The sequence below is a fragment of the Homo sapiens genome, chromosome 2 (assembly GCF_000001405.40).
Source record: "Homo sapiens chromosome 2, GRCh38.p14 Primary Assembly".
NCBI lineage: Eukaryota > Metazoa > Chordata > Mammalia > Primates > Hominidae > Homo > Homo sapiens.
Window position 1 is genome coordinate 168,748,855 of NC_000002.12, and position 19,311 is coordinate 168,768,165.

At 41.0% G+C, this 19,311-nt stretch overlaps 1 protein-coding gene across 4 annotated transcripts in view; it reads left to right on the top strand.

Annotated features, from left to right (window-relative positions):
• The window catches only part of CERS6 (ceramide synthase 6), a 318,863-nt gene that overhangs the window by 292,583 nt on the left and 6,969 nt on the right, over window positions 1-19,311 (top strand). For 3 of the 4 annotated variants that reach the window (NM_001256126.2, XM_005246440.6, XM_017003749.3), the window contains 2 exons: window positions 16,738-16,894; window positions 17,468-17,491. In NM_001256126.2, the coding sequence (NP_001243055.1) occupies window positions 16,738-16,894; window positions 17,468-17,491 (181 nt within the window). The remainder of the gene's footprint in view (window positions 1-16,737; window positions 16,895-17,467; window positions 17,492-19,311) is intronic. The other variant, NM_203463.3, reaches the window with a different exon arrangement.

Here is a 19,311-nt window from a genome sequence, read left to right on the forward strand (position 1 = left end):
CCATGCTGAGTTTGTGCAAGGCCTGCTCTTGGTTCACAGTATAGGCACCTGCAGTGCCCCAGGGAAGCAGATCTCTTGTGTCCTTTCTGTCTGCCCTTTTCCCACCCCCTGATTCCTGCCTCCCCCATCCCTTCCTCCCCCTCTGTCTTACCATTTCCTCCTTTCCCCAAAAGACAAGGTTTGAGGTATTGTACCCATCATTTCCAGAAGCACTCTCTCTCCTATATCTTCCAAAATTATGACATAAGAAAGTAACAGAAGAGTGCAGAACCCAGGCAGATTTCACAGTCCCTAGGCAGCTATTAAGCTCTAAATATCAGGCATCTTGACAAAGACAGCTCCAAACTTGCCAACAAACCCACATTCCAGGGGCAAAGGATATCAAATATCATACTATTTGTTTAAGTTGACCCCTCTTCGCTATCTGAATCCCCACACTCATAACCATGGATGAATCTGAGTGCTGCTTCTTTTGTTCAGACGGAATTTAAAAATCAGTTTTAGAGTGAGAAATGCGCAAGCCCATCCCATATAGGCAGGTCCTTTTCCCCAACAGGTATGCCCTCCTTTTCCCTGGCCTCCTGTCTTCTCAGCACTTCCAGGGAGCCACATGCTCACTGAGAGCTGTCTCCACCCCTTATTCAACGCACCTAAAACTTGACAGTCTGAGCAGATGGGGGAAGTAGAGTGATTCCAGCAACTGTCTCCTTTTCTGGAGCAGGAAGCTGGGACTGTGGCTAAGTGAGGCTGCCCTTCTGCAGCTCTGAGAATATGGTAGCGTGCGCTACCATGCCTAGCTAATTTTTTATTTTTTGTAGAGACGGGGTCTTGCTGTGATACCTCGACTTAGGAGAGTTGGCTTTCTGGAAACTCACCTGATGCAGGGCAGGTGAGCCCCAAAGTGAGGCTTAGTCCACAAGGCTTCTTGGCTTTGCCCAGGAAAAAAATTCAAGGGCAAGCCGGAGGTAGAAGAAAACAGCTTTATTGAAGAGGCAGTGCTACAGCTCTGTGTGTGCTCCTGCAGAGCAGGGTTACCCACTAGGCAGAGAGTAGCAGCTCAGGGCAGTTTTGCAGTCATATTTATACCCACTTTTAATTACATTCACATTAAGGGGCAGTTTATGCAGAAATTTCTAGGGAAAGCGTAGTAACTTGGGTCTTCAGGTCATGGAGAGGGGCAATTAACTTCCAGGTGTTGGCTTGGCAATGGCAATGGCGAACTGACGTGGCACACTGGTGCGTGTCCTATGGAAAGCTGCTTCTGCCCTTGCCCTATTTTAGCTAGTTCTCAATTTGGTCTGGTATCTGAGCCCCACCTTCTACCTTGCATCCAGCCCTGTAAAAATCTGTTGCACTCTTTGTCCCAGTTAAGACCTTTATTGGCTTTTGTTAATGCTTGGCTGTATGTTATCATTCTCATGTGGCTTCCTCAAATTTTAATTTAAGCTAATATTTATATGATTACATACATGTTAATTATAGTTAAATACTCATTATAGAAATTTTGTAGAAAAATTAAAACCACAAAGAAGAAAAAATTTCAATCCTATAGTTCTGAGATAACCACTGTTGATTGTTTGATATCTTTGTTTCTAACATTTTATGTGTTTAAAATTACATCTTTTTTCTTTACCAAAGTAAGATCATCCTGCACATACTGCTTTTATAACTGCTTTTCTAATTTAACATTGTACTCTCAGCATTTTTCCATTTCATTAAATGTTCTTCTATAATATAATTTCATTGGCTACAGAGTATCTACCATATGAAAAAGTCATTATTTGATGCCCTATTTTAGGGCATTAATTAGGATGTTTCCAGTGGCTTGCTATTATAAATAATATTGAAATAAACATCTTCATGGACAAATTTCCTCACGGATTCCTGATTACTTCCATAGGACAAATGTTTGCAAAGAGGATCACGGTTCATTAGATGTGCACATTTTGACACGTATTGTAACATTATCAGCCAAATAGAGTGTGCCAATTTATATTCCAACCCCAGTTCCTCAAATAGATAGTAAGTTCTTTGAGGTTCACTATTATGTATCCTCCATAGTTCCTGGAAGTGTTGGGCATACAATACAAACTTAATAAAAATAAAGTTAATTCCACTTAACTTTCTTGATTACCAAATATTTAACCTGTCTCCCCCTTGCTACCTTCACTTGCTTCCATGCTATAGATGCAAAACATAGCTGTGGTCACTGAGCTAAATATTGATGATAGCAGTGACTTTGATCAAAAGCCATGTTACCTCAAAACTTATCCTAAACACAAGTAAGAGGTTATAGCAGGAAGTGTCAGGTTAAAAGAATCTGCAGGCTAGAATATGGCTGGAAACTTATTTACTGCAATACTAACAACCAGTTGTGCCAATGAGTTGATCACCTTTTCTAAAGAGAAAAGAGACTGAGGATGTGGTTTGGGGTGTGGGCTGTATCAGGTACTTTTTTATGACCCAGATATGATACCAGAAGACAGAGCACTACTGGATGAGGGGGAGGTGGGTGCAAACTCTGCTATGGGAGCCCATGCCACTTCAGTAAATAAATTAAGCTTTGTTCTCTCTTGAGGAATCTCATTCTTCCTGTTTATCCTTCTCTCTCACTGCTCCACACTTCTCTGGAGTACTTGTTTCCATGGACTATAATAATCACTGAGCAGTATTTTTTTTTTAAAGAGCAGCTGTGTTTCTCAAGCCTTGCTCTTGATCTTTATGTCCTCTTGCCAAGATAACTGCAGTGGCCTCTATGCAGTGTCTTCACACCTCCAATCTCCTCTGATGGAAACCATCCCACAGTTTCCATAACATTCTTCCTAAATCAAGGCCTTAATCTAGTTCCCCCACCCCCATTCCCAAATTTTCCAGGATTTCCTTTGTTTTCCACTGTAAGTTCAAACTTTTCTTCCCAGCAAGAAAGACCTTCCACAAAATTATGCCAACACTTCTCCTTTAACTACTGCCTTGCAGGTACCCATTCCAGCTATGCATGATCCCTTGTGTATACCCTTTGCTTTCCGGCCTGTACATGCCTTTGCTCAAAATGCTCCCTTTGCTTGGAACACCTATTATATTTAATAATTCTACCTTAGTAATCAGTGTATTTGTCTGAGTCTCCTACAGTTATTTGTAAACTCTTTGAGTGTAGGTACCTAGTCTTATCTATCTTAAAATCTCTCTCAGGGATACAATTGCATTGGTTAGGGAGGGAGTACCCAGATATCTTCATTTTAGATGTCATTTTTGTGTTTAATATTCTGGTCACAGGGAGAAAATATCTTAAGCATGTGGATTATGCCAGATGTGGTGGTGGCACAGCTGTAATTCCAGCTACTTGGGAGGCTAAGGCAGTAGGATCATTTGAGCCCAGGAGTCTGAGGCCCACCTTGGCAACAGACCCCATCTTTTAAAAAAATAAATGTGTGTGTGTGTGTGTGTGTGTGTGTGTGTGTGTGTGTATAGAGAGAGAGAGAGAGAGGCTAAGTTTGACACTGGAATGTGTCCAGCGTCACCAAGTTATATATAAAGTCCATGCCTCAAGCCTTGCATGCAAATTGAAAATTAAAGAGAGCAACATGGCAAAATGTGCTGCTGATAGCTTTCAGCTTTGCTGGATTGAACAGGAATATAAGGTAAGGCTGCAGACTCTCCTGTCTACTGCCAGGTCACACCCAGCCAGTCCTTGTGTATTCATATTCCTGGTTGCCTGGTTCCCTGTGGAAGCTGGTGATGGGGTGCGAACAAGGAGCGTGGCACGTAGCTGGCAGCTACAGTATACCTAAACTGAGGGCTTGCTAAGCGATCTCCGTAGCCATTACTATCCGACTTAAATGTCCTGCTGCTGAAAGCTGAGGTTCTGCACACCGTTCAGTGTGCTCAGGAGGCAGTGGTTTGATCTCATAAATATAGCATTTGTTCAAGGCCTTGTATCCTTCATAGATTCCTTCCCAAAGATGGGATCTTGTATGTTTTTTTCTTGTTTTCTGCTTTCTTACTTTTTCCCATACATCTAGGTGTAAAAACAAAACAAAACCTTTCCTTTGGTTTTGCTCGTTGTTAGGTTAAAAATCAGAGAAACAATGAAGACTCACCAGAGAAGAATGCATCTATACAAATGGGGTATTTTATCCATGGAGAAAACAATCAGAACAAGTGAAATTTTAAGTAAATCTGAAAACATAAAAATTCATAAGGTCGTTTATGTTAGAGTTTAAGAAACCTTTAGTAAACATCTTGTCTTAGGCTTTTATTTTGTGGATGAGGAAACAGGCTTGGAGAAATAAGATAACTCGCATCACAGAGCTAGGGAATGCAAGAACTGAGCCCAGCACCAGGTGTTTTGACTTCTAGTTCAAATGTAATACTCAATACTGTCAGTTCTCTGAGTAAGCTCACTTTCCACCCATATTCCCAGGCACAGCCATCGTATTCTATAGCAATGATTCTAGTAGTTAACATTATTTCAATTGTTGATTAAACAGAATGATATGTTTATGTTTGTCTTGATCAGTTATTATTCAGTGCATATAGTTTCATGTGTGTTATTTTTCTTTCATGCTTGTGAAGCCTGCAAGAGCAAAATTTTATCTAAATCTGCATTCACTTTCCTAAGGCTTTTTGTTGTTGTTTATTTGGGTTCTTTTCCCCCTTGATTTTGAGCATCTTACAATTCAGTTTCCACAACTCTGACTTAACTTGTGGGGCACACAGGGCGCAACTCTTTGTTAAAAGCATACTTACTGCATCTCTCTCTTGCCAACCTAAAGATAATATGATGCAGAATCTCTCTCAAGACTGCAGGCCTAGGATACATTTTTCTCTTTTTAGCAGCACTTCCAAAATTTTCAGGGATATTTTTCTAAGATAAAAGTGAAGACTTAATCTTGTCAATATTTAAATAAAAACAGACCTTTATTTTAAAGTATTGTAACACTTCCAGTAGAATCTATACATGTTTAGAATTCCATGCCAAATCACATCCTCACACACACAGCTAGCTAGAGGAGAAATTTCTTACACTCTAGGTAAGAGTAAAACACTATCTCTTATCCCCTTCCTTCCTGCCGCCCACGCCATGCCCAACTGCTCCCATCCTCCCTCTCCACCTGTGTGCAAATGGAAGGAGTTGGTGTGGCTTGATGCGGGGGCGGGGTATGGAATTTGGGGGACAGTGTCAGGACAGGGACCCCTAGAGCAGACAGCATGAGGGAAGTCAGGGCGGTGAGAAGCCAGGCATCAAATACCACTCCCCGTGTTAAGTATCAGAGTCCAGAGAGCCAGGAGGCACTATGGGTCCGTGTCTCAGAGATAAGACATGAGAGATGAGAACAAGGAAGTTGGAAGGAAGGAGGGTCTGTTTCTTGGGAACAGCAGCATACTCCTTAGCATAGGACCCACCAGCCAGTTGGTGTGTTCAAGGTGCGTGGGCCTGGATTTCTTTGAGGGTCAAAGGACATAATGCAAGTGAGTATATATACTTTACATAACTAAATAATACATAATATTCAGTTTTCAGAAATTTTTTCAGATCACAGATGAACCTATTAGTTAATACATTGCTTTAGGAAAACTGTTGCTTCCTGGATGTGGTAGAGAAGTCTCACAACCAGGCCTGCAGTGCAGATGAGGTAAGGCCTACCTGAAGCTCTGATACCCAGAGTACACACACAATGCCTAAGGTGATGTTGACTCCCTTCAAGCTAAATAAGATGGGTGGAATTTGATCCCTGAAGAGTTAAATACTGGGATTCTACCAGAGCCAAGACCCTACCAGAACCTTCTCAAGAGATTTTTAGGCAGCAGAGGGAAGCATTCTTCCTGTCTTGCCAGCCTGAACATGATCGCTTCTAAACCTCCCTTTTAGCTCTTATTTGCTAAAAATTGTTTGAAGACTATACATTCTCTGTTTGTTTTTTTGAGACAGGCCTTTGCTCTGTTGCCCAGATGGAAGTGCAGTGTAGGCTTATAGCTCACTGCAGCCTTGAACTCCTGTGCTCAAGTGATCCTCCTGCGCTCAAGTGATCTCCTGCCTCCGCCTCCTCAGTAGCTGGGACTACAGGCATGTGCTGTCACACCCGGCTAATTTTTACTTTTGTAGAGACAAGGTCCCACTATGTTGCCCAGGGTGTTCTTGAACTCCTAGGCTCACGCGATCCCACCTCAGCCTCCCAAAGCTCTGGGATTACAGGCGTGAGCCACCATGCCCAGCCCATGTTCTCTGTTTTAATGTAAATTTTAAAAGAAGGAGAGAGGGATTCCTAAAGATAATATGTTTTGGTTAGAAACAACAAAACCTCTGTCTTGTGACCTTGGATAATTAAATACTGTTTTAGGATCTTGGTCTCCTGACCAAAAAGTTGATATTGTATCTGATCTGCTAACTTTACAGTTAATAATGAGACTGAATCTAATAAACATGAAGTCTTTGAACATCTTCCAAACAGAAGGAAATATTACTATGGCTCTAGCTCTCTTAAATGCTTCAATGGACTAGTTAGGAACATATTTTACTCATGCTTTCTAGTCATCTCTAGGGATCCTCATTTTAAATCTCCATGTGTGTGACTCTCAGCATGGAGGCATAAAGATGGATACTGTGTGCCTCATTTCCTTCTCTAGGGAATGTGCAAAACCACATCACTCCTGTGGGCTGTGATCAGTGCAATAACCATGCCCCCACCCCACTGCAGGCCCCTCTGGCTTAAGAACCTATCCCACCCATAGGTTGCTATTTAAATTGTTAAAATGAGAAAATACAAATTGTCCCAGCCTCAGCAACTACCCAAATAGGAAGCCAAAATGGAAGCTATTCCCAAGAAGCAGGTAACTATAGCAGCCTTTCTGTGTTTCTGCTGTAAATAGCCATCCTGTAAACAGGCTCCTTCTGCCAGGCAGCTAGCAATTCCCTCTCTACTTGTCAGTGGAGTCCCTCAGAGATGAGTTCAGTGAATTATCAGAATGACCAAGATTTTCTACTTTAACTGAGTTAATTGATTAGACCCAGAAACTTTGAAGCTAAAACAATCTCACAACCAGAGCCTCACATTGGTATGTGTTTGGTCTCTGTTTTTCTCACCTCTGCAAAACATACCATTGAAATCTCTAAGGGAAGGGGAAAAGGAGAAAAAGGTAAGGAAGCCCATGGTAATCTGACAGCATTCCCCACTTGGGCCCAGGAGCACTTGGCCTGCCATTGGCCTTGCTAGGAGTGATCCTACAATGGAAATGAGCAAACCTAGCCCTTCAGGGAGGAGCACACAAATGTAGGGAGGTTTCAGAGCCATTTCTGCCATCCTGCCTCTATGAGGATGGGAGGCTGGTTTTATACTCTTTTAGAAAACTGGAAAAGTAAGTCCCTGGAATCTCAGTCTTTCTTAGGTTTCTACCTGCCTAGCAGGAGTCAGCCTTATCTATCCTTTTCTTAAAGTAGGGGATATTTAGAGATACACATCTGCCTCAGTCCTTTCAAAGAGAAAAGCAAAGAAAAGGGCACAGGGCTGGCACTCCCATTTCCCAGTTGAATTTAAAAAGATCTTTGGTTTTGTGTCTTGAATATTTTGTGTACATGACAAAGTAGTAATGAAAGGAATTATATAATTTTCAGTAATGGAGACAATTCTGTTGGGATTTAAGGGTCAAGTGGGGTGGGCCAAAGTGGGGAAACCACATAAATAAAACCAAATGGGTTATTTAAGCAGGCAGGGCCTGGCATATGGCTACCAGAAACCAGCTTATGAGCCCAAGGGATAACACATTGCAGGGAATTACAGGCCAAAGGGAAAGATCTGCAGAAATGCTGAACAGAGATATTGATGTGTGTCCTCCATCATAATGTGGGGACGGATCGGCTCTGAGCATAAGCCTGGGTGAAGAACGGAGAAAGGGATGGGAGAGCCTGACAGCCTAGACCAGCAGACAGGTAGCTTCAAGTCTCAGTGTCCCCCACCAACGCGATCTGACTTGGGGAATGTTATTTACATCCCTGTGCTTCCATGTCCTCATATGAAAAATAGGGATAATAACAGGACACACTGTGGAAAAAAAAGAAATAGAAGTTATCCCATAGGCTTTATTTCATGAGAATTAAATGAGTTAACATACAAAACCTAAGCGCAGTTCCTAACACATAGTTAATGTTCAATAAGTATTAACTAGTATTAATGTTGCTATATGAGGATCTTACAGAGATGTTGAATGGGCAAAATGAAGCAATATATGTAACATATTTGGCACAGTGCTTAACACGTAGTAATTACTCAAGGAAGAGACGTTATAGAGAACCAAGCAAAAGTCTCTCTTATGTACACATAGGCAACAAAGAGCTAACTAGAGGGCTGAAAACAAGCATGTTGGAATCAGGATACATCCCGAAGGACACAGCCTTGCCTGGAAGGACTCAGATTGGGAGGTCAGGAGCGTAGGTAAGTAGACCAGGCAGTGGCAGAATTAAGAATGCAGGCAGACATACAGCAAATAGGGCAGCAACTACTTTTGGAGGAAAAAAAAAAAAAAAAACATCTGCCCCAGCCAGGAAGTCACCAATTACAAACTTCCTGTGATAAGAGACCAGTTCCTAAGTCTGGCCTGGCTATGACCTAAAAGTAAAAATAAATTCACTGGCCCCATGTCCTGTTGGCTAAGAATACAGATAGAACTATAACGTGCACTGCTAAATGAAAGAGAGATTATTTGTCCATGTTCAAGTTCAGATTCCTGTCCAGGGATAAAGAAATGACTTCTGGCCAGGCATGGTGGCTCATGCCTGTAATCCCAACACTTTAGGAGGCCAAGGTGGGAGAATCACTTGAGCTCAGGAGTGCAAGACCAGCCTGGGCAACTTAGTGAGACCCTGTCTCTACAAAAAAATTAAGAAAATAGTAACTTCCATGTTTGCTACAGATTAATAGATTAGTGACTAATAATTAGGCACCCATGCCGCAAGCTACCCAGAAGCTGTCCTCCCAAAACTGGGAACTTGATATCAACACCAGTATTGTGGAGAATGTAAGCTACAGCCGGGGTGCAGTCTTGTTAAAAGGAAGGAAATTGGAAACATCGTTCTCAGCCTTGTAATAGCCTTGATGTTGACCAAGATGTTATTTAAGCCTGGAGCTTTTATTACCTTAGGAAAACCAGCACAACGAGGGTTGCTTGTAATCATGACTTAATTACCCGACTTTCAGGTTTTAAATGCCCACTTTTTTTGTTCGGAGTGAATTTTAAATGCATTTCTATCAGCATCTACTTTAAAATGGACAAAACGTGCTAGCAGATTAGTCATCTTAGGTAGAATCTACTTTCATTTATGTTTTGTGTAGGTCAAATGAACATCCATGCCAGAGAAACGCACATCATGAAATACACTGAGGTCTGTCTGGGAAAGCAAAGTCAAGACCATTCAAAAGCTCTGAAGTAAACCACACCCTAATTTTGACCACAAAGTTCATTTTACTTTTCAAGGTATCGTCACTGACATTCTGTAGCACTCCTTAAAGTGAAGCCCTGACTCTGTTCCTTAGAGAAGAAATCTTGGCTCTGGATATTTGACTTGGGTCTAATTATTATTGTGGGTTTTTTTAGAGATCATTCCAAAAACATACAACCCAAGGCTCAGATAGAACTCTTTGGTTAAGGTAGGGGAGGAGCGGCGGAGGCAAATTTGCGGTTACTTGACATGGCCAAGGGCCATGGTATCATCAAAAACATGCACCTGTAACCCATTCATACGGTAAGATCACCTGGGCCATTGTTATCGTCTTATTACCATTATGTGCTGCTGCCTATATGTCACTGGAGTATTTAAGATGTACAGGTCTGAAAGAATGTTCATCTAATTTTACATATTACGGAGAATGGATTTAAACTCTTACTTGGAAGTCGCATGAGAATGGGGAAATTGAGCATTGGAGGTAGGTTTTTTGGAGTAAGATGCCAGTGAAGGTCTTTTTACACTGCGCTCTGTGACATTATGAGACTGCAGTCCTCAGGTTGCAGGGTAAAGCATAATGCTTTAAGTCACAGTGATGCTTAGAATGCGAATCGGTACGGCCTTAAGTATCTTCTTTAAGACTCCCTTGTGTTTGCCTCACAAAAAAAAAGATTGTGAACTGTTCTGCATGAATGTATGCATCCCACACACACATATCCCTTATGTCTATGATGATCAAAGTTAAGATGAAGAACCCATAAAAGATAAGAATGAGCTGAAGTAACTACAGGGCATGGCCAAATTAAATCTTAGATTCATTAAAATCACCCACCAAGGCTAAGATATTGGGGTGGTCACAGGTGTATCAGGGCATCAGCAGTGAAATGCATGGAGCACAGCTTTGCCCTGTAGGTGCATTTCTGTCAAATGCAGGATGAAAAAAGGTCAGACTGATGCCTCTTCATTCATTTGATGGGATGCCCATTCATTTGATGGGATTTTTAGAATGAGGGGTATAACCTGTAGATCAAGTGTTTTCTGTACTGGGACTCACCCTTGGCAAAAGGTTTGGGCAGAACAAACCCGCGTGAGTATGTACTGTTCATGCATGATATGCCATCTAGTGGTTAAGTGAGCCTAACATGAATGAAAAGAAAAATGGTCTCAGGTCCCTTCTGCCTCTATACTCTCCATTAGACAACAGTAGAGGTTCGATGCTATTATTTGGAAAGAAAAGAATTTATTTTCTTAGAAGCCATAGGTTGAATACAAATTCATCTGTGACCACCCCAATTGCTTAGCCTTGGTGGGTGATTTTAATGAATCATAAGATTTAATTTGGCCATGCCCTGTACTTACTTTAGCTCATTCTTACCTTTTATGGGTTCTTTATCTTAACTTTGATTATCATAGAACTATTATACAGTTCTTTATTATGTGTGTGGGGGATAAACACATTTATGCAGAACAGTTTACAACTGTTTTTGTGAAGCAAAAACAAAGTAGTCTTAAATAAGATACTTAAGGCCATACCCCTTTGCATCTAAGCATCTAAGGAGAACCCTGATATTATAGTAATTATTAAAGCCAAAAGCTGTACGTTGTGTGTGTTTTTTTTTGTACATATGTGTTTTGTTTGGCCCACAGGGTACTGTCTTCCATTTTATTTTATTGGCGTATAATTCCTATATACAATATAGTGCAAAAAATCTTTAGTATATGGCTCGATAAATTTGTATGTATGTATAACCCACGTGATCATCACCCAGATCAAGATACAGAAGTGTCCAGCCTCCCTCAGATCCCCCCAACCCCAGTCAGTCCTCCCTCAAAGACAACCACTGTATTAGTCAGGATTCCCTAGAGAGACAGAACTAATAGGAGGTATATACAGGAGTTTATTAAGTATTAACTTACACGATCACAAGGTCCCACAGTAGGCTGGCTGCAAGCTTGAGGAGCAAGGAGAGCCAGTCCGAGTCTCAAAACTGAAGAACTCGGAGTCTGATGTTTGAGGACAAGAAGCATCCAGCACGGGAGAAAGATGTGGGCTGGGAGACTAGGCCAGTCTCGCGTTTCCCATGTTTCTGCCTGCTTTATATTTGCCGGCAGCTGATTAGATTGTGCCCACCAGATTAAGGGTGGGTCAGCCTTCCTCAGCCCGCTGTCAAATGTTAATCTCCTTTGGCAATACCCTCACAGACCCAGGATAAATACTTTGCATCCTTCAATCCAATCAAGTTGACACTCAGTATTAACTATCACAACCACTGTCCTGAACTCTGTCACCATAGGTTCATGATGGCATCATTAAAGTACATACTCCTGAAGTACCTCCCAGAAATAAGATTCTATAGTCACCATTTTAATAGTTTGCCCAAAAAAAGAACAGTTTCCTCAATTGTAACATTCTTGGGCCAAACAAAGGCTCTTTCCTGGGTTTACTGTTTGTTTATTTATTTATTTATTTATTTATTTATTTTTTTGAGACGGAGTCTTGCTCTGTCGCCCAGGCTGGAGTGCAGTGGCGCGATCTCGGCTCACTGCAAGCTCCGCCTCCCGGGTTCACGCCATTCTCCTGCCTCAGCCTCCCGCGTAGCTGGGACTACAGGCGCCCGCCACCACGCCCGGCTAATTTTTTGTGTGTTTTTAGTAGAGACGGGGTTTCACTGTGTTAGCCAGGATGGTCTCGATCTCCTGACCTCGTGATCCGCCCGCCTCGGCCTCCCAAAGTGCTGGGATTATAGGCGTGAGCCACCGCGCCCGGCCGGGTTTACTGTTTATTAGAGTCCAGGTGTCATATGTTCTCTCTGTTCCCTAGTATAAATTCCTACTATATTGTTTTTCTTACCATGCTTCTCACTGAGAGATATATCCGTTTGGTGCACTGATTGTATTTTCTCAAGTGTCTCTACAGGAAGCCAAGTCGATTTTCAAAGAAAATCCCATTACTTTTGAGCAGCATCTCAAAAGTAATCAGAGGTGCCACTGATTGTCATGGCAAAGCCTATAAATCCTGATGCAGTGTTTCAGAAATTAATGTGAATGCCATGTCGCCAACGACTGTTCTGACATCCTGTTCAAATTAAGCCAAGCGGTAGCATCAGTCCTAGCATCACAATGGCGAGAAAGCTTCTCAGTCTATAATCCAGCAAAGGTTAACTTATAATGAATGGCATAATGCAGTCATTGTTGCTATTTACACAGAACCTCTTTCTGTTCAAAGGGAACTAAAGTTTCTCTGAATATCAATATGTGTAGTATGTCAAGAAGCAGAGCTAGTTTTGAAATAAAATTATTCTTATTATTCCAGAGCTTTCTTCTTCATATTTATTGGATTGTTGGATTAGCAAACACGTGGTCAATCAACAAACGTGTCTAGCCAGCATGTTACTTCCAGGTGTCTTGCAGGGTGCTGGAGATAGAAAAGTGTAAGGTGTGTGAGTCCTCCCACACCACCACAGAGTTGAGCCTTGTTGTCCCCCTGGCCTGCAAACTGATGTTTAAAGAGATAACTGCTTCTTCGGATAATAAACAAGGCAGGAATATAGGCATTATCCTAATTTAGTCATTTTTACAAATTACTTGTATTTATTAATAAATATTTATTAATAATTTCTGGAAAACCAAGCACCACATGTTCTCACTCATAAGTGGGAGTTGAACAATGAGAACACAGGGACACAGGGAGGGGAACATCACACACTGGGGCCTGTCAGGGGGTCAGGGGCAAAGGAAGGAGAGCATTAGGACAAATACCTAGTACATGTGGGGCTTAAAACCTGGATGACGGGTGAATGAGTGCAGCAAACCACCATGGCACATGTATACCTGTGTTACAAACCTGCACATTCTGCATATGTATCCCAGAACTTAAATTATAGTAAATAAATTTTTAAAATGCAAAAAAAAATAGTTTCTGGAATAAGAATGAAAACTAATTTTTTAATTTTTAATGTTTCCTGTTATGGGACATTTTGGTTGTTTGCTGTTTTTAAAATACTTATAGATATTTTATGTCTATGTATTTGAAATTAAGTCTCTGACTCCCTGCCATGCTCAATGGCTGGAGCTTCCAGAATAGTGTTAAATAATAATGGTTATACTGGCTTTCCGTGGTTTTCCTGATTTTAAAGGAAGTAACTCTGGTGTTTATTAATATGCTGATTTGAAAGGGTTACAAAAATCATACTAAGTCCTTTGTATTCTAATTGTTAAACATCAATAATGAGGAATTAAACATTACCAAATGTCTTTGATGCTGTTGAAATCATTCCATTTATACCAATTTGGCCTATGTATATAATATATTAATAGATTTCCTAATATTTTCCCCCTTCCCCAGAGTGAATACAACTATTTCATGAGGTATTATTCTTTTAATGACTTGTAAAATTCAAATCATTAAACTCTATCCTATTGTTTTTAGAATTTTAACATATGTGTATTATGTATTACTCTTTAAAGACAACTACTATGGCAGGGTTGAAGACAAACTGTTAGTCTCATTCTAGTCTATAAATAGGAGTTGCAGAAATCGGGGGTGGGGAAGAACCTATTTGTCTATTTTATTTTTCATTGTCCTTTTTCCTTTATTTTTTTGAGACAAGGTCTCTCACTCTTGTCGCCCAGGCTGGAGTGCAGTGGCACAATCATAGCTTCACTGTAACCTGCAACTCCTGCTCAAGTGATCCTCCTGCCTCAGCCTTTTGAGCAGCTGGAACTGCAGGCATGTGCCACCATACATGGTTAATTTTTATTTTATTTATATGGAGATAGGGTCTCACTCTGTTGCCTGGGCTGGTTTCAAACTCCTGGGCTCAAGCAATCCTCCTACCTCAGCCCCCCCAAAGTGCTGGGATTACAGGAGTGAGGCAGTGCCTAGCCTCTCCTTTTTTCTTTTTTCTTTATCTCTTATTCCAGCTGCAATAATTGTTTCTCTCTCTCTCTCTCTTTTTTTTTTTTTTTTTTTGAGACAGAGTCTCACTGTATCACCCCAGCTGGAGTGTAGTGGTACGATCTTGGCTCACTGCAACCTCTGCCTACTGGGTTCAAGCAATTCTCCTGCTGTAGCCTCCTGAGTAGCTGGGACTACAACAGGCACACACCAGCACACTCGGCTGATTTTTTATTTTTTATTTTTTTTGTATTTTTAGTAGAGACAGGGTTTCAGCATCTTGGCCAGGCTGATCTTGAACTCCTGACCTCAGGTGATCCACCCATCTCAGCCTCCCAAAGTGCTGGGATTACAGGCGTGAGCCATCGTGCCTGGCCTGTTTTTTTCTTTTCTAATTCACAAAGTACTTTTCTAACCTCTCTTAAAGCTCTCATCACAATTTATTTTATTTAAATTATCTATTTGTCTTATGTTTTTATATGAGTGGTCTGTGTCTTAAATTCGAGAGTTTTCTCTCCCTTCCCTTTAGCCAGTAAGTGTTATCCACCTAGCCTCTCCTGTAGAATCAGATTGTCCCAGCAAAGTGCTGCAGTGGCAGGCGGTAGAAATGCACTTAGGTGAGTTTTCTTGTGTGTCTCCAAACCATCCCTGGGGTAAGCTGAGGAGGAGAGCAGAGAGTAAGAATGATTCCAAAATTATGCAGGTGCTGTGCTTCTCTGTGGCAGCAGTATGAGTCCAGATGACATGAGTCAATTTCCAAGTGCTTAAGAGCAGACACAGGCAGGGACCAGAGCAAAGCACTAAAACCAGCCTTTTATGTATCTACTCCAGGTGGCTGTTCCATTCTAGTTCTGATGGTAGATTACAGAGAGAACCAGTTACCTCAAATAATTTTTCCTAATTCAAATACATACTCTTACGTACTCTTAAAACTAAATACATTCATTGTTCTCTATTTTTTTTATTTTTTATTTTTGAGATGGAGTCTTGCTCTGTTGCCCAGGCTGGAGTGCAGTGGCACGATCTCTGCTCACTGCAAGCCCCACCTCCCAGGTTCACACCATTCTCCTGCCTCAGCCTCCCTAGTAGCTGGGACTACAGGTGCCCGCCACCACACCCGGCTAATTTTTTGTATTTTTAATAGAGACGGCGTTGCACCATGTTAGCCAGGATGGTCTCAATCTCCTGACCTCGTGATCCGCCCACCTCGGCCTCCCAAAGTGCTGGGATTACAGGCATGAGCCACGGCACCCAGACTGCATTCATTGTTCTGTAATCATTTTTGTCAAAAATCCTTCCAATACTCATTTCAAGGCATCATCAAAATGATGTATTTCAATTATCAGTGCTTTTCCAGGGGAAGCCTTACAAAATTAAGGACCCTCTAATGACTCTCCTACTAGATATAAGCCTAGGTCTCACTCATATTCTCACTTCCACTGTGTTTTTCCCTGTGCTAGGCATATGGCTTGTACTTAAGTAATGTTTAGGAGTTAATCTCTTTTTTTGCAGTGTATTGGCATTGAATGGCATTCTTCGCGCTTATTTAAAGCCCAAAAGCAACTTCAAAGATCATACAGGCCTTTTTACAAGTAGATATGAATCACAACCAAAAAATGAATGAAAATTAATGAAAGAAATGATGGCAAAAGTGAAGGGGGAAACATATGATCCAACAATTCCACTTCTGGGTATATGCCCGAAAGATACATACTCAGAGCGATATTTGTGGACCCGTGTTCATAGTAGCATTATTTGCAATGGCCAAAAGGTAGAAGCAACCCAAGTTCCCTTTCAATGGATGAATGGATAAAATATGACTTATACGTATTATAATTCAGCCTTAAAAAGGAAGGAAATTCTGACACATGCCACAACATGGATGAACCTTGAAGATGAAACAAGCCTGTCACAAAAGGACAAATACTATATGAATCTACTTTTATGCGGTGCCTAAAGTAGTCAAATTCACAGAGACAGGAAGGAGAATGGTGGTTGATGCAGGCTGGAAGAATGGGTGCCGAATCTTGGTTTTGAAAGATGAAAAGTGTGCTGAGCATGTATGGCAGTGATGGTTACACAACAATGTGAATGTACTTAAAGCCAGTGAACCGTACACTTAAAAAAGTCAAGATGGTAAATTTTATGTTATATTTATTTTATCATTTTTAAAGAAGTGAATAGGGAAAAATATATTAATTAACCTAAAACCAAATGAAAGTCACACCATCAGGGTAATTCTTCAGGAAATGACATTTCTAAGTACCTGGCAAGCTTTCACACCATCCTGCCAGAGAGGGGGTAGTTGGGAGATATTGTTGACCTTGTGCTTTAATGCAGTGACTAGAGTTCCTTGGAAAGCAAAGGAAAATGCCACATTCACTAATCACCTCCTTCTTTTCCTTAGGGTGTTAAATACCACATTATTTGAAAGCTGGGAGATCGTTGGACCTTACCCTTCCTGGTGGGTTTTTAACCTACTGCTATTGCTAGTACAAGGGTTGAACTGCTTCTGGTCTTACTTGATTGTGAAAATAGCTTGCAAAGCTGTTTCAAGAGGCAAGGTAAGCTACAACTCACTTTTTCCAATATGTCTTAAAAAATTTTGTTTTTGTAATTTCTCTGGATCAACTATTTACTATTCCATATTTCATCAAAATTGGTAGTATTTCTTCAGAATTGAGCAAAAATTGAGTCATTTCCTTTTCTAGTTCATTTTTTAAGTCTTCAGTGTTCCTTTGCTGGCGATGGCACCCAATGATATGCATTTGTAATTTTAGACTTAATAATATATTATTTGTTGTGTTCGCTCTCCCTCTTCCTGTCAACCTTGGACCTCCTCTGATTATATTTATACTGAACAGAAATTTAATCACTTCTTTCCTTTTATGAGAAGGGTCGCTTGGTGCTGTATGCCGGTTTAAACAAACCTTTCTTTCAAACTGAAAAACAAATCTGTTCATGACTTCCAACAAGATTTAGTTAAATCTTTTTGGTTAAAAGTGGACTTGAGGTTGATTCGAATAAAGCTTCCTAAGCCTCAGCCCCAACCCTGTGTGTAGAGCAGAGACTTTTCCAGATCATTCTCTGTGACATTTTCTTACTTGTTTGTTCTCTTCCTTCTGCTACCCTGGAAGGCTGGGAAGTGGAACCCTTTACATGTAAGTTTCTCCTCCTCTCTCTCTATCCCTGTCCTGAGTGCCTCTTGCCTGTTGGAGGGGCACTCAGATGCTTTTGTTTCCACGCATATTGTTCTGTCTAACCTATTGGCACTGTCTAGAGGCTTCATGTGAGCTGTAGCTCTGTGAACTGCAAGAGACACTAGAGACAGCTCTGTTAGGGCCCTTTGGTGTGAGCTTGTATTCTGCTAAATGTTGCATGATCCAACAGAGAAGAAGAATTTCTTTCACTACCCCCTCTCTGACAGGATGGTGTGAAAGCTTGCCAGGTACTTGCCAGGTTTAATGTGTTGGCTAAAAGACAGAAATAGACCAAAGTAAAGTAGGAGAAACAGAACTAGTTGGAGGGGGAGAGGATCAACACATTGCAGAATGGAGGCCTGAGCATCAGCTGTGGGCCTGACCTGCCTGGGGCCATATGGCAGCACCTGACCACTCTGACTCATCAAGGTCAACAGGGCTGGCCTGTTCTGCAGGGGAAGTCGGGGCATCTAGTCGTGTACTATGAAGCCACTTCTCAGCACCAGCTCTAGTAGAAATCCTAATTATTTTGATCAATTAATTGTTCAGAAGCTAAAGTTCATTTTTCTCTGTGACCTCTCACTCTTTGTAATGAACATGTATTTCTATTTTAAAATCTCCTTGTCCTCATTTGGATACAAATTTAATCAACATGCACAAAACTGTCAATATGATAACAATAACTAAATATGCAAGAATGCTGCTTAGATTACTTGTGTCCTTAATTGCATTGCTATTTCTACCAGACTTGTTGCCTGCTCTTCAACTTATTCCTTCTACTTTATGAAGAGAGATGATGATTAATTTTATTCTAGATCTCAGGCTTCAGAATATCTTAGCTGCCCTTGCGGCTCTCACCTGGGATAGTAAGATTCATCTTGACCATGAGTTATTTTCCTCTGGGCTATTTTGAGATATTCTAAATTGTCCTTTCTTTGAAGGTAACATAAGTATAGATTTTTCTAAGTGCAATTTAAAAAATCTGACTGAGCATGCAAATGTAAATTAATCACTTTGTAAAACTGGAGTTTTCTATTTATGACTAATGGACTTAACAACATAGTGGAACTTTACTATAATGCTGGCTTTGTGACTCACAATGTTTAAGTTCAATTATCTTTAGCCATTTTGGAGTCTTAGTATTTAAATCTTTTTGGAGATGGCCTGTGTGAGTTCAGTCCCATCTCAACGGGTATTGGAGTGAGGTTCACTTTTATGATATTTACTTCATCACCACTGGTTGGCATAAAGCAGTAGTTCTCAGCTTTCAAGTTCTCCTGACCCCACCCACCTGAGAGAGAGGACGTTCTCCCACAGGAACTGTAGTTTCTCAAGTTGGGAGAGGTGGAGGGAGTCCAGGATTCTCATGTTAGAGTGTAGTGGTAACATAGACAGGATGTGATGTGGGAAAGCGCCAGTTAATTCTGCCATACCTCCCAGGAGACTTTGCCACCTCCCCAGCCCACCCCCTAGAGAATCACAGGAGGACCAGATTGGGAAAATTCCTATGAAGGGAGGCCACCAGGTCTCTTTTGTCACACCACTGAAAAATATAAGTAAGCAGTGATGAGTTACTCAAGAATCTTAAGGCCTTCTGGGTAAAAATGCTTACCATAATTTAGACTTACAGAATAGGAGGTTCAAACTATTTTTATCTTAAAAGCAGTATTTTCTTAATTTCCCCCAAAAACTACTTCCTTGCTAAATAGTAGGATTTTTCTCATCGTTTATGGTAATGTATAGATTTACATCTTCTCACCTTATTTTGACCTCCATGTGAC